This window comes from Homo sapiens, chromosome 3 (assembly GCF_000001405.40).
Source record: "Homo sapiens chromosome 3, GRCh38.p14 Primary Assembly".
In the NCBI taxonomy this organism is placed as follows: domain Eukaryota; kingdom Metazoa; phylum Chordata; class Mammalia; order Primates; family Hominidae; genus Homo; species Homo sapiens.
The window spans coordinates 15,341,085-15,354,773 of NC_000003.12; the positions used below are offsets into that span (position 1 = coordinate 15,341,085).

Here is a 13,689-nt window from a genome sequence, read left to right on the forward strand (position 1 = left end):
ATAAAACCTATTATAAAAAGGCTGCTATAAAAGCACTTTTATAAACCTAAACTCTTCCCTGGGGCCTCCCAGGCCCCACCTCATCTGACTTGTGCCCACATCTCACACCTCCTCTCACCGCCCCTCCTCCTCGCTCACCCTCTGGCACCACATGGGCTGTCAGCTGGCTCTGTCCTCAGGGCTTCTGCTGTCTGCATCGCTATCTCCTCCAGGGCACGGCTGCCTGACTCCTTCTCATCATCCACATCTCAGCCCAAATGTCACATCCATAGCAAGGCTTTCTCCAACTCCCATCTGGAACAGTTTGTCCTCCAGCCCTCTCTATATAGTTTGGCTGTATCCCCACCCAAATCTCATCTTGAATTGTGTCATGGGAGGGACCTGGTGGGAAGTGATTGGATCATGGGGGCAGTTTCCTCCATCCTGTTCTCGTGATAATGAATGAGTTCTCACAAGATCTGATAGTTCATAAGTGTCTGGCATTTCCCCTGCTTGCACTCACTCTGTCCTGCCACCCTGTGAAGAAGGTGCCTGCTTCTCCTTTGCCTTCCAGCATGATTGTAAGTCTCCTGAGGCCTCCCCAGCAATGCAGAACTGTCAGTCAATTCAACTTCTTTCCTTTAATTACCCAGGTTCAGGTATTTCTTCATAACAGTGTGAGAATGGATTAATATTCCTCTCTATCTCATTACCCTGTTTTGTTTTCTTCATAGCAATTATCTTTATCACTAGCTAGTCTATTTTGCTTTTTAATTTTTATTTTTTATTTTTAAAAAATAGAGATGGGGTCTTACTACCTTGCCCAGACTGGTCTTGAACTCCTGGGCTCAAGTGATCCACCCACCTTGGCCTCCCAACGTGCTGGGATTATAGGCATGAGCCACCATGTCCAGCCTTTATAATAGGTTTTATAATAAGTTTTTACAGTTATTATAAAAGTGATGGGAAGCACTGAAGGGACTGAATTCAAAGAATGACACAGTCAGTATATTTGCTTCAGTGATCACTGGGGCTGCTGTGTGGACATGAAATGGCCATGAAGGCAAGAGCAGGAGTAGGGATACAGGTCAGCAGGCTGTCCCAGGGGCCCTAGTGAGAGACGTGGCTGCCTGGGCTTGGGGTCCGATGGTAGTGGGGAGATGGACTGGAGTTGATTTAGGTTATATTTGGAAATTAGCTCCAACAAAACTTGCAATTCCATCCGATGTGGGGGCAGAGGGGGCAGAGGCAGAGACATCAAGAATAACTCAAAATTTTGACTTGAGCAAGCAGCTGACTGAAGCTGCCATTTACAGAGTGAGGTATGGGAGACTTAAGAAACAGTTTTGCAATCAAGAAGCCTGTTTTCAGGCACCCAAGTCTGACAGGCTATTAAACACTCAAGTGGAGATGTGAAGTAGACAGTAGGATAGACGTCTGAAGCTCAGGGGACAGGCCAAGACTGCAGATATAAATTTAAGAGTCGACTGCATGTAGATGATATTTAAAGCCAAGGGACTGAATGAGATCAAGGGACTGAAATCACTTAGAATAGGGGAGATGTGGAGGAAAAGAGGACCAGGACACAGCTCTGGGGCGTCCCAACATTTAGAGATTGAGACTTGGAGGGGAAGCCAGGCAAGAGGACACCAGCCAGCTGATTCTTAAAATAACAATAATCACAAAAATGAATCAATCAACTGTTGAGGAATTTTTTGCATATGTTTTTCTGGTAAAATTATATGATCATATAATAAAAAATTGGTCGATTCAGATTTGACTTTCACAGCACAATCATTAACAGTGTAATTTTGGCAAAAATAGCTGAGGTCTTTGTTAATTTTCCCAGGTGTCTCTCTTACCTCTTTGATATTCAAATCATTCTCATTTGAAGTATCTTTTTGGTCCTTATCCTCATAGATTTTTCTCTCATCTAATGCTGCTGTTTCCTCATATGTCAATGGCTTAGCAAATGATTAGGGCAGTTCCCCAAAATTGCTTTCCTAATCTTTTTAAAACCTTATTTTGCAAGACTGACAGTTTCACTTTGCCATCAATTTTTATGTAATTTATGTTGGCATTGTGCTGTTGTAACCTGACAACTATAGAGGAAATAATGGACAAAGACTGTGACACAATGGGCAGCGGTGGAAGCTTGGTTTTGAAAGGAATGGATATGTAGTCAGTTTATGAGTGATTAATTTTGTGTCACAATGATGTTAGCTGTCTATAGTGGAGATAACTAGCTGTCCACCAAATCCATTCTCCCCTTCCTTAAGCAATAAAATCAACAGCATTTCCCTACCTACCATTTGGCTAGGTGTGGCTTTGTGACAAAGTGAACAGCAGTGACATGCCACTTTCATGCCTGTCTGACAAAAATTGCCTACATGTGCTCCTTTGTGTGTTTTCCTCTTCTTTGACTGGATGCAGATGACAGTGAGGGCCCTGGAGAATGACAGATTTACAAGATGGAGACAACCTGGATCCCTGAGTGACTGCATGGAGGATAGCACCCCCACCAACTTGAGTACCCTGATTTCTTGTTACCTGTGCGAGAAATAACATTCCATCATTAGAGTCATTAAACATTTGAGTCTATTTGTTACGGTGGCTCGGTCTATCCTAAAGGACACACTGCTCTACTTAACTTCAGGAACGGGATAATGAATACTCAATAATGAGGAGCCCCTTATATATTTCAGCAAGATATTTATTACTTCATGTAGACTACACTATTACTTTGTGTAGACAAGGCTGAGAAACAAGGATGGTTGCTGACCTAGGTCAGAGAAGTAGTACTGACTGAAAAACCAAACCTAAAGGTTAATGAATCACTGTCCAACCATATATATTCCTTTGGGCTTTATTATCAGTTCTGTCCTTTTCAACATTTGTAGTAATGACTTGGATGAATATAAAGAATGCTCACTTCCCAAGCTTGCAAAATCCACCCTGGATTGGACAATCGTGATTCACAAATATCTTGGCGTTTTATTTGCATTGTGTTGTTGTATCCTAACAACTATGGAGAGAATAATGAATAAAAACTTTGACCCAATGGGCAGGGGACAGAAGCTTGGCTTTAAAAGGGAAAGGTGATTGCGCCACTGCACTCCAGCCTGGGCGACAGAGCAAGACTCCGTCTCAAAAAAAAAGGGAAAGGTGGTGCACAAAACTGAAGATGGTAAAGATCACTGGAGTAAACTGTAAGGTCCTGAGCTTAGTTTGAAATAAATTAGAACAAGATAGAGAAGACATGGCTTAAAGCAGCACATTTTTTAAAAGTTAGACATTTTAGAACGCATTTCTACAAGCATTGTGCCTATAATAAAAAGGTGATAATCTCGTGTTTTTCTGCCTGTGAGGGGGGACCTCCCTCTTGATATTTTGTTGTCAAATGCTACACAATACATGAAATGTGCTCAGAGGAGAGTGCTCAGAACTGAGAAGCCTCAGGAAGATGGATTTGGGGTGTGTGTGTGTGTGTGTGTATGTGTGTGTGTGTGTGTGTATGTCTGTGTGTTTTAATAGAGACAGGGTCTTACTCTGTTACTCAGGCTGGAGTCCAGTGATGTGATCACAATTCACTGTAAACTCTAATTCTTGGACTCAAGCGATCCTCCTGCCTCGGCCTCCTGAGTAGGTAGGACTACGGGAATGTGCCACCAATTTTTTTTGTAGTGACAAGGGTCTTCCTATGTTGCCTAGACTGGTCTTGAACTCTTGGCTTCAAATGATCCTCCTGTTTCAGCCTCCCAAAGCATTGGGCTTACAGACGTGAGCCACTGCACCTGGACAAATTTTTTAAAACATTCTATTGGGTAAATCTGTTCAATTGTTAATTGGGCTGCCTCAATAAGCAGTGAATGCCCCATCTCTGGAAGTGTTTGAATAAATTTGCATATAAAATTACTGTTATTCAGTCATTTTAATCTACAAGAATGGCAATTTCATATGGTTCAACCTAATATTTGGTGGAAAAGGTAGAGGATGAGTCAAGCAATTGATATTTTAAGAGCAAGTGACAGAAGCACATCTCAAACTGACTTCACCAAAGGGAAGGAGAGGTATTTATTAGTGGAGTGGAAAGCATATTGGCTCGTGTAACTGAAAAGCTCAAGTAAATTTAGCTTCGGGTATGGTTACATCCAGCAGTCTCTCTCTGTCTCTGCCCTGTCCTCCTCTGTGTTGGCTCCCTTCCCAGACACACCTGCCCCTTGTGCTAAGCAGCTGGGCACTAGCGGCTCCAGGCTTATGTTAAAGCAGCTTAACAACCCCAGCTAAGAGTCTCTCCTCACCAATAATTCCTGGGACTAACTCTTATTGAACTGAGTTGGCTCATACACTCCTCTCTGAATCAATAACTAAGCCCTCAGTTATTGACTCAGGGGCAGGGAGTAAAATTACTAATTGGCTTCGCCTCAATTACAAGTTGCCCTGGAGTCCAGAGGAGAGTGGGGTGAGAAAAGAGGATGTTCAGCCACATGGGCTGAAAGTAAAGAGAGGGTGGCTTTCCAATGGAAAACTGAGGTGCTACAGGTTGACCTGAAAATGAAATGGTGTGTTGGTTCTGAATCTATTTGAAAAATAAATAAGTAATAGAAAGATGAAGTGAACCAACCAAGTGAATCACCGGGTGAAAATGTGTTCTAAGCAGAGAGAGCAGCTGGTGCTCATGGGGGAATGAGCTAGGTAGGTTTGAGGAACAGAAACAAGGTCAGTGTTCCATTATCTGTTGCTGCAAAACAAAACGTCATAAACTTAATGGCTAAAAGTAATAACTGTTTTATCTCTTCAATTCTGTAAAATGACTAGACTCAGCTAGAAAGTTCTGCTCCATGTGATGCTAGCTGGCTGCCGTCACGTGGAAGGTTGACTAGGCTGGAACATCCAAGATGGCTTAGTCACATGGCCAGCAGTCAATGCTGCTGGCTGGGGGCTCACCTGGGGTTATGTATGGCCCAGGGCTCCTCAGTTCTCCTCCATGTGTCTTCTCTGTGAAGCTTTTGGTTTCTTACAGCATGGTAGCTAGATTCCAAGAAAGATAGCAAAAGCTGCTAATCTTTTTTTTTTTTTTTTTTTTTTTTTGAGACAATGTCTTGCTCTGTCGCCCAGGCTGGATTGCAGTGGCATGCTCTTGGCTCACTGCAAGCTCTGCCTCCCGGGTTCACGCGATTCTCCTGCCTCAGTCTCCTGAGTAGCTGGACTATGGGCGCCCACCACCAAGCCCAGCTAATTTTTTTATTTTTAGTAGAGACAGGGTTTCACTGTGTTAGCCAGGATGGTCTCGATCTCCTGAACTCGTGATCTGCCCGCCTCAGCCTCCCAAAGTGCTGGGATTACAGGCGTGAGCTACCGCGCCCGGCAGAAGCTGCTAATCTTAAAGCTTCAGCTCAGAAGTCCTGAAACATTAATTTAATCACACACAATCATGGAGCCAGCATATTCAAAGGCCATTACATTAGCGTATAGGAAGGAAAGAAACTGGTGGCCACCATCTTGGCTCCAGCCTTGGGGAGTAGGAGGCTGGGCCATAGTGAAGGGCAGAGTGGTATGCAATGGAATTGGAAAGGTAGGAAGGGGCTGGATCAGGGGTATGGAAACTATAATCCAGAGGCCAAACCCAGCCCACTGCCTGTTTTTGTAAATAAAGTTTTATTGGAAAGTAGCCACATTCATTTGTTTACTATATTGTCTATGGTAGAATCTAATAGCAGAATCGAGCAGTTGCAACAGAGACCATATGGCTCACAAAGCCTGAAATATGTTCTATCTGGTCCTTTACAGAAAAATCTACTGATGCCTGGGCTAAGTCATGGAGTGCCTTATAAGAATTGTTGAGGAGTTTGAATTTTATTCTAAGTGTGATGGGAAGCCACCAGAGGGTTTTAAACCAGTGAGCCACAATATCCCACCTACATATTTAAAAGATCCTCTCTGGGAATGGATTACTGGAGGATAAACATGAAAGCCGGGAAACCAGTTAGCAGACTATGACAATAATCCAGATGAGAGATGATAGAGTCAAAAACACAAGTGTGTGAATTTTGCACATGTATTCAGGAGAAGCAGCCTGCAGGACTTACTGAGCCATTGGATATGGGGATGAGAAAAAGAGAGGAAGCAAGGATGACTTACATTTTTGGCTTGAGCAACTGGGTAAAGGGTGGTATTATTAACTAAGAAGATGACGATCAGGGGAGGAGCTTATTGGGAGAAAAAGCACCAAGAGTTTTTTTTTTTGAAGACCGAGTCTCACTTTGTCATCCAGGCTGGCGTGCAGTGGTGCGATCTTGGCTCATTGAAGCCTCTGTCTCCCGGGTTCAAGCAATTCTCATGCCACAGCCTCCCGAGTAGCTGGGATTACAGGTATGTGCCACCACACTCAGTTAATTTTTGTATTTTTAGTAGAGACCAGGTTTCACCATGTTGGCCAGACTGGTCTCAAACTCCTGGCCTCAAGTGATCCCCTCACCTCTGCCTGCCAAAGTGCTGTGGTTACAGGTGTGAGCTACCACACCCAGCCAAGAGTTCTTTTTCGAACATACCAACTTTGAAGTTTTTGTCAGATATCCAAGAGACCTGACAAAAACCTCAAAGTTAATATGTTCAAAAGCAGCTGAACACTTGAGACTGGAGATCAAGGCATAAGTTTGAGAATCATCAGTAAACAGTATTGAAAGCCAGACACCTGGAAGGAATATTTCCAGAGAAAAAAATGGAGATAGCCTAAGACCTGGGAAAATTAGAAGCCAACAGCAGCAGAAAGTCAGCAAAAGAGAAGCAGTAGTAGTGGAGAGGAGAGAACCAGGAGACTGTGGTTTCATGAAAGTCCTGGAAAAAACATTTCAAGCTGGAGGGAGTGGTCCACTGTGTCTAATGCTACTGGGTAGTGGAAGAACGGGTGGACAGAGAAGTGACCACAGAACTCTGTGACACAGGCCTTTCTGAAACCTTGACCAGAGCGATTTCAGAGGACAGGACCACACCCTGATTGACGGAGTTTAAGAAAACCATGAAATGTGGACAAATGGAGGCAGCAAATATAGAGAGACCTATTCTGAGAAGTTTTGCTATAAAATGAACAGGTCAGAATCACAGATGTTCACTGCAGGCTCATGAGCTTTAAAGTCTCTTTCACTACTAAAGAGCATTGACTCCATGGAGCACCTACTATGTACCAGCACATTGCTTGTCAAGGATCCCAAAGAGGAATTTCTTTCTAATGGCTTATTGGGAAATTGGATGAAACACAACAGAAATACATACCTATAGCTTCCAAAAAAAAAAAAAAAAAAGAGAAGAAAATTTCAGCCCTTGAAAGGCAAGTGAAGATTTTCAAACAGGTTTCTCCACATTGTAGGGAGACCTGCAAACCCATAAAACCAGCAGTTTCGTTTCTGCTGGGTATGCACTCAAGCTCTTCCTTCCACACTTTCTCAAGGAAGCTTGTTCAAGCAAACTTCTGAAATTTGCTACCAAATATAAATGTGCAACCCAATGAATAAGCAGATTTTTGTAATCAGAACAAAATGCATCTTGTAGAAGGATACAAAGTATTATTTTTGCTTTAACATTTTGTTATTTGTTTCTGGAAAACATTTAGTTTCTCCTGACAAACTTCCAGGACAAAAGCACACACTCATACACACAGAATAAGTACAGACTGTAAGAAAGACATGGAGACAATTTTGTATCTAATTTCACTTCCTGGTAATCTTCAGGAAGATTCAGGTGATCTGAATCTGAATCTCTACCTATAATCTTCGGGTGGAGATTATCACACCTTGGGAGGCCTAGGCAGGCAGATCGATTGAGCCCAGGAGTTTGAGACCAGCCTGGGCAACATGGTGAAACCCTGTCTCTATAAAAAATACAAAAATTAGGCGGGTATGGTGGTGCATGCCTGTGGTCCCAGCTACTTGGAAGGCTGTGGTGAGAGGATCATCTAATCCCGGGAGGTCAAGGCTGCAGGGAGCTGAGATCATGCCACTGCACTCCAGGCTGGGCAACAGAGTGAGACCCTGTCTCAAAAAATTAAAATTAAAAAAAAAAAAAGAGATCACCTGACCCTAAAGTCTGAGCTCTGAACCATTGGCTATACTATTTTATAGAGGTGCAAGCTGACTCATTATGTTGCCTGTCTTCCTGGGTCTATAAAATATGTAATCAGCAAAGACATGGAATCAGCCTAAATGCCCATCAACAGTAGAGTGGATAAAGAAAATGTCCAGGTTCGGTGGCTCATGCCTGTAATCCCAACAGTTTGGGAGGATGAGGCGGGTGGATCACCTGAGGTCAGGAGTTTGAGAGCAGCCTGGCCAATGTAGTGAAATCCTGTGTCTACTAAAAATACAAAAATTAGCCAGGCATGGTGGTGGACGCCTGTAATCCCAGCTACTCAGGAGGCTGAGGCACAAGAATCACTTGAACCCAGGAGGCAGTGAGCCGAGATCGCACCATTGCACTCCAGCCTGGGTGACAGAGTCAGACTCTGTCTCCAAAAAAAAAAAAAAGAGAAAGAAAAGAAAATGTTGTACATATACACCATGGAATTCTATGCAGCCATGAAAAAGAATGAGATCATGTCCTTTGCAGCAACATGGTTGGAGCTGGAGGCCATTATCCTAAGTGAACTAACACAGGGACAGAAAACCAAATATCACATATTCTCACTTATATGTAGGAGCTAAACACTGAGTACACATGAACACAAAAAACGCAACAACAGACACCGGAGCCTACTTGAGGGTGGAAGTTGGGAGGAAGGTGAGACTCGAAAAAGTACCTATCAGGTACTGTGTTTACTACCTGATGAAATAATATGTACACCAAACCCCTGCGACAGGAAATTTACATATGTAACAAACCTGCACACGTACCTCTGAATGTAAAATAAAAGTTTTTTTTTAACTTTTTCAGAGAAGTAAAGAAACAGAAGAATGACTACTCCATAGAGCAGCCAACTTTTTTTTAAAAAAAGGCATATATGGAATCATAACAGGAGCCATATTTCTGTCTTTGCCCATGAATTTATTTAGAATCCCAGCTAATATGGTTTAGATATTTGTCCCTGCACAAATCATATGTTGAATGATAACACCCAGTGCTGGAGATGGGGCCTGATGGGAGGCGTTTGGATCATAGGGGCAGATGTTTCATGGCTTGGTGTTGTCTTCATGACAGTGACTTCTCACAAGATCTAGTCATTTAAAAGTGCATGGCACCTCCCCCACACATGCTTTCTCTCTCTTGCTCCTGCTTTCACCATGTGACATGCCTGCTCCCTCTTTGCTTTCCACCATGATTCGAAGCTCCACAAGGCCTCCCCAGAAGCAGATGCCACTATGCTTCCTGTAGAACCTGCAGAACCATGAGCCAATTCAACCTCTTCTATTTTTAAAATAAATTACCGAGTCTCAGGTATTTCTTCATAGCAATGAAAGAATGGCCTAATACAGAAAATTAGTACTGAAGAGTGAGTGATTGCTATATAGGTACCTGAAAATGTGGAAGAGACTTTGGAACTGGCTAACAGGCAGAGGTTGGAAGAGTTTGGAGTGCTCAGAAGAAAACAGAAAAATAGAGAAATTTTGGAATTTCTTAGAGACTGGTTAAATAGTTGTAACCAAAATGCCGATAGGGATATGGACCGTGGAGACCAGGCTGACAAGGTCTCAGATGGAAATGAGGAACTTATTGGGAACTGGAGCAAAGGTCACATGTGTTATGCCTTAGCAATGAGTGTGGCTGCAGTCTGTTCATGTCCTAGGGATCTGTGGAAGTTTGAACTAAAGAGTGATGACCGAAGCTGGGTGCGGTGGCTCACGCCTGTAATCCCAGCACTTTGGGAGGCTGAGGCAGGCGAATCACAAGGTCAGGAGTTCGAGACCAGCCTGGCCAACATGGTGAAACCCTGTATCTGCTAAAAATACAAAAAATTAGCTGGGTGTAGTAGTGGGTGCCTGTAATCTCAGCTACTGGGGAGGCTGAGGCAGGAGAATAGCTTGAACCTGGGATGCAGAGGTTGCAGTAAGCCAAGATCACTCCACTGCACTCCAGCCTGGGCAACAGAGCGAGACTCTGTCTCAAAAAAAAACAAAAAAAAAAAAACAAAAAAAAAAAGAGTAATGACCTAGGGCATCTGGCAGAAGAAATTTCTAAGCAGCAAAGTATTCAAGAAGTGGCTTGGCTGCTTCTAACAACCTAGGCTCAGATGAGGGAGCAAATAAATGACCTAAAGTTGGAATTTATATTTAAACAGGAAATGGAGTGTAAAAGTTTGGAAAATTTGCAGCCTGGCCATGTGGCAGAGAAAGAAAAAGCTTTTTCAGAAAAGGAATTCAAGCAGCCTTTGGAACAACTGCTTGCTAGAGAAATCTGCATAACTAAAAGGGAGCCAAGTGCTAATATCCAAGACAGTGGGGAAAAGGCCTCAAAGGTATTTCAGAGACCTTCTTGGCAGCCCCTCCCATCACAGGCCCAGAGTCCAGAGGCCTGAGAAGAATAGTGTCATGGGTCTGGGCCCCACTGCCCTGCACAGCCTTGGGACACTCTTTCCACATCCAGGTGCTCCAGCTCCAGCTGTGGTTCAAAGTGGCCCACATACAGCTCAGGCCACTGCTCCAGAGAATGCAAACTCTAAGCCTTGGTGGCTTTCATGTGTTGTTAAGCCTGCAGGTGCACAGAGTGCAAGAATGGTGGTTTCTTGGCAGCCTCTGCCTAGATTTCAGAGAATGTATGGGAAAAGGTTGGATGTCCAGGCTAAAGCCTGCTGCAGGGGCAGAGCCCTCACAGAGAACTTCTGCTAGGGCAATTTGGAGAGAAAATGTGGGGTTGCAGGCCCCAAACAGAGTTCCAGCCAGGACACTGCCTAGTGGAGCTGTGAGAAGAGGCCACCATCCTCCAGACCCCAGAATGGTGGATGCACTGGCAGCTTGCACCCTGTACCTGGAAAAGCCACAGGTACTCAACTCCAGCCCACGAGAGCAGTCTCAGAGGTTGCACGCTGCAAAGCCATGGGGGCAGAGCTGCCCAAAGCCTTGGCAGCCCACTCCTCATACCAGTATGCCCTGGATGGTGAACATGGAGTCAAAGGAGATTATTTTGGAGCTTTATGATTTAATGACTGCCCTGCTGGGTTTCCAACTTGTGTGAAAACTGTAGCCCCTTTCTTTTGGCCAATTTCTCCCTTTTGGAACAGGAAGGCTTACCCAATACCCCCACTATATCTTGCAAGTAACTAACTTGTTTTTTATTTTACAGGCTTATAGGTGGGAGGGATTTGCCTTGTCTCAGATGAGACTTTGGACTTTTGAGTTAATGCTAGAATGAGTTAAGACTTTGGGGGACTGCTGGGAAGGCATGATTATATTTTGCAATGTGAGAAGGATATGAGATTTGGGAGGAACCAAGGGCAGAATGATATAGTTTGGATATTTGTCCCCACCCAAATCTCATGTTGAATTGTAATCTCCAATGCTGAAGGTAAGACCTGGTGGGAAGTGTTTGGATCATGGAGACAGATCCCTAATGGCTTGGTGCTGTCTTTGTGATAGTGAGTGCTTGTGAAATCTGGTCATTTAAAAGTGTATGGCACCCCCGCCTCCCCAATTCTCTCTCTCTCTTGCTCCTGCTTTCACCATGTGACACCTGCTACCCCTTTGCCTTCTACCATGATTGAAAGCTCCCTGAGGCCACCCCCAAAGCAGATGCCTCTATGCTCACTGTGCAGCCTACAGAACCACGAGCCAATTAAACCTCTTTTTAAAAAAAATATAAATTACCCAGTCTCCGGTATTTTTTTTTTTTTTTTTTTTTTGAGATAGAGTCTCGCTCTGTCACCCAAGCTAGAGTGCAATGGCGTGACCTCAGGTCACTGCAACCTCTGCCTCCTGGGTTCAAGCGATTGTCCTGCCTCAGCCTTCTGAGTAGCTGGGATTACAGGTGTGCACCACCACGCCTAGCTAATTTTTGTATTTTTAGTAGAGACGGAGTTTCATCATGTTGGCCAGGCTGGTCTCGAACTCCTGACCTCATGATCCGCCCACCTCAGCCTTCCAAAGTGCTGAGATCACAGGCGTGAGCCATGTCACCTGGCCAGGTATTTCTTTATAGGGATGCAAGAATGGCCTAATACACCAGCTCTGCTCTTTATGAAGCTATATGACTCTAAATCACTTAATCTGAGTGAGCCACAGTTGCTTCATTTGTCAACCAGTGATAATAGATCTACTTTACATTTGTGTATTAAATTAGCAAATGTAGATAAAGGTCTGTGTTCATGCTCTGAGTACAATACATGATAGTTATCATAAAGAACAATATCTATGAGTACACCCAGCCTTTCTCAAAAAGATAAAGCTATGTTATCTACTGTTAAGAAGGGTCTCAAAAAAAAAAAAGAAAGAAAAACAAGAAGGGTCCCAGATCTCCTGAGTTATCCTACCTCATAGTCAGGATTGCCTGTCTATCCATTTTAAGAATAATCTTGGCTGGGTGCAGTGGCTCACACCTGTAATCCCAGCACTTTGGGAGGCCGAGGTGGGCAGATAACAAGGTCAGGAGTTTGAGATCAGCCTGGCCAATATGGTGAAACCCCATCTCTACTAAAAATACAAAAATTAGCCAAGTGTGGTGGCAGGTGCCTGTAGTCCCAGCTACTCGGGAGGCTGAGGCAGGAGAATTGCTTGAACCCAGGAGGCGGCGGTTGCAGTGAGCGAAGATTGCACCACTGCACTCCAGCCTGGGTGACAGAGTGAGACTCCCTCTCAAAAAAACAAAACAAAAGAATAATCTTGGCTGGGTGTAGCCGTTTATGTCTGTAATCCCAGCAGTTTGGGAGGCTAAGATGGGAGGATCACTTGAGTTCAGGAGTTCAAGACCAGCCTGGGCAATATAGCAAGACCTCATTTCTTGCTAAAAACTTTAATAAAAAAATAGCGCCGGGAGTAGTGGCTCACGCCTGTAATCCCAGCACTTTGGGAGGCTGAGGTGGGCAGATCACGAGGTCAGGAGATCGAGACCATCCTGACTAACACGGTGAAACCCCGTCTCTACTAAAAATACAAAAAATTAGCCAGGTGTGGTGGTGGGCGACTGTAGTCCTAGCTACGCGGGAGGCTGAGGCAGGAGACTGGCATGAACCCAGGAGGCGGAGCTTGCAGTGAGCAGAGATCATGCCACTGCACTTCCAGCCTGGGTGACAGAGCAAGACTCCGTCTCAAAAAAAAAAAAAAAAAAAAAGCCAGGCATGGTGGCACATACCTGCAGTCCCAGCTACTTGGGAGGCTGAGGTGGGAGGATCACTTGAGCCTAGGAGATCGAGGCTGAAGTGAGCTATGATCACGCCGCTGCACTCTAGCCTGGGTTACAGAACAAAATCCTATTTCAAAAAAAAGAAAAAATGATCTTGCTGTCTGGGGAATCCTACAGTAGGCAGTATAATTTTAAGCAAGTACCCTTGAAGGTCACAGACTTTAGTTATTTTGTTATTTATTTATTGTTAAGAAAGGATCTTGCTCTGTCGCCCAGGCTGGACCGCAGTGGTGTGATCATAGCTCACTGCAGCTTTGAACTTACGGATTAAGCAATCCTTCCACCTCAGCCTCTTAAGTAGTTGGCATTACAGGCACATACCACCGTGTCCAGCCATTTAAAAAATTTTTTGTAGAGACAGAGTTTCACTATGTTACCCAGGCTGATCTC

At 44.1% G+C, this 13,689-nt stretch overlaps 1 protein-coding gene and 1 long non-coding RNA gene across 2 annotated transcripts in view; one reads left to right on the top strand and one right to left on the bottom strand.

Moving 5' to 3' along the window:
* SH3BP5 (SH3 domain binding protein 5) overlaps nt 1-296 on the bottom strand; it is an 87,028-nt gene extending 86,732 nt beyond the window's left edge. The window contains exon 1 of the mRNA NM_001018009.4: nt 139-296. The gene's annotated coding sequence lies outside the window, so the exon portion shown is untranslated. The remainder of the gene's footprint in view (nt 1-138) is intronic.
* Nucleotides 297-529: 233 nt separating this feature from the next.
* Nucleotides 530-2,580, top strand: LOC124909348 (uncharacterized). Its single transcript, XR_007095830.1, has 2 exons — nt 530-560; nt 2,413-2,580. It is a non-coding gene; the product is annotated as an uncharacterized LOC124909348 (long non-coding RNA).
* The last annotated feature ends 11,109 nt before the right edge of the window (nt 2,581-13,689 follow it).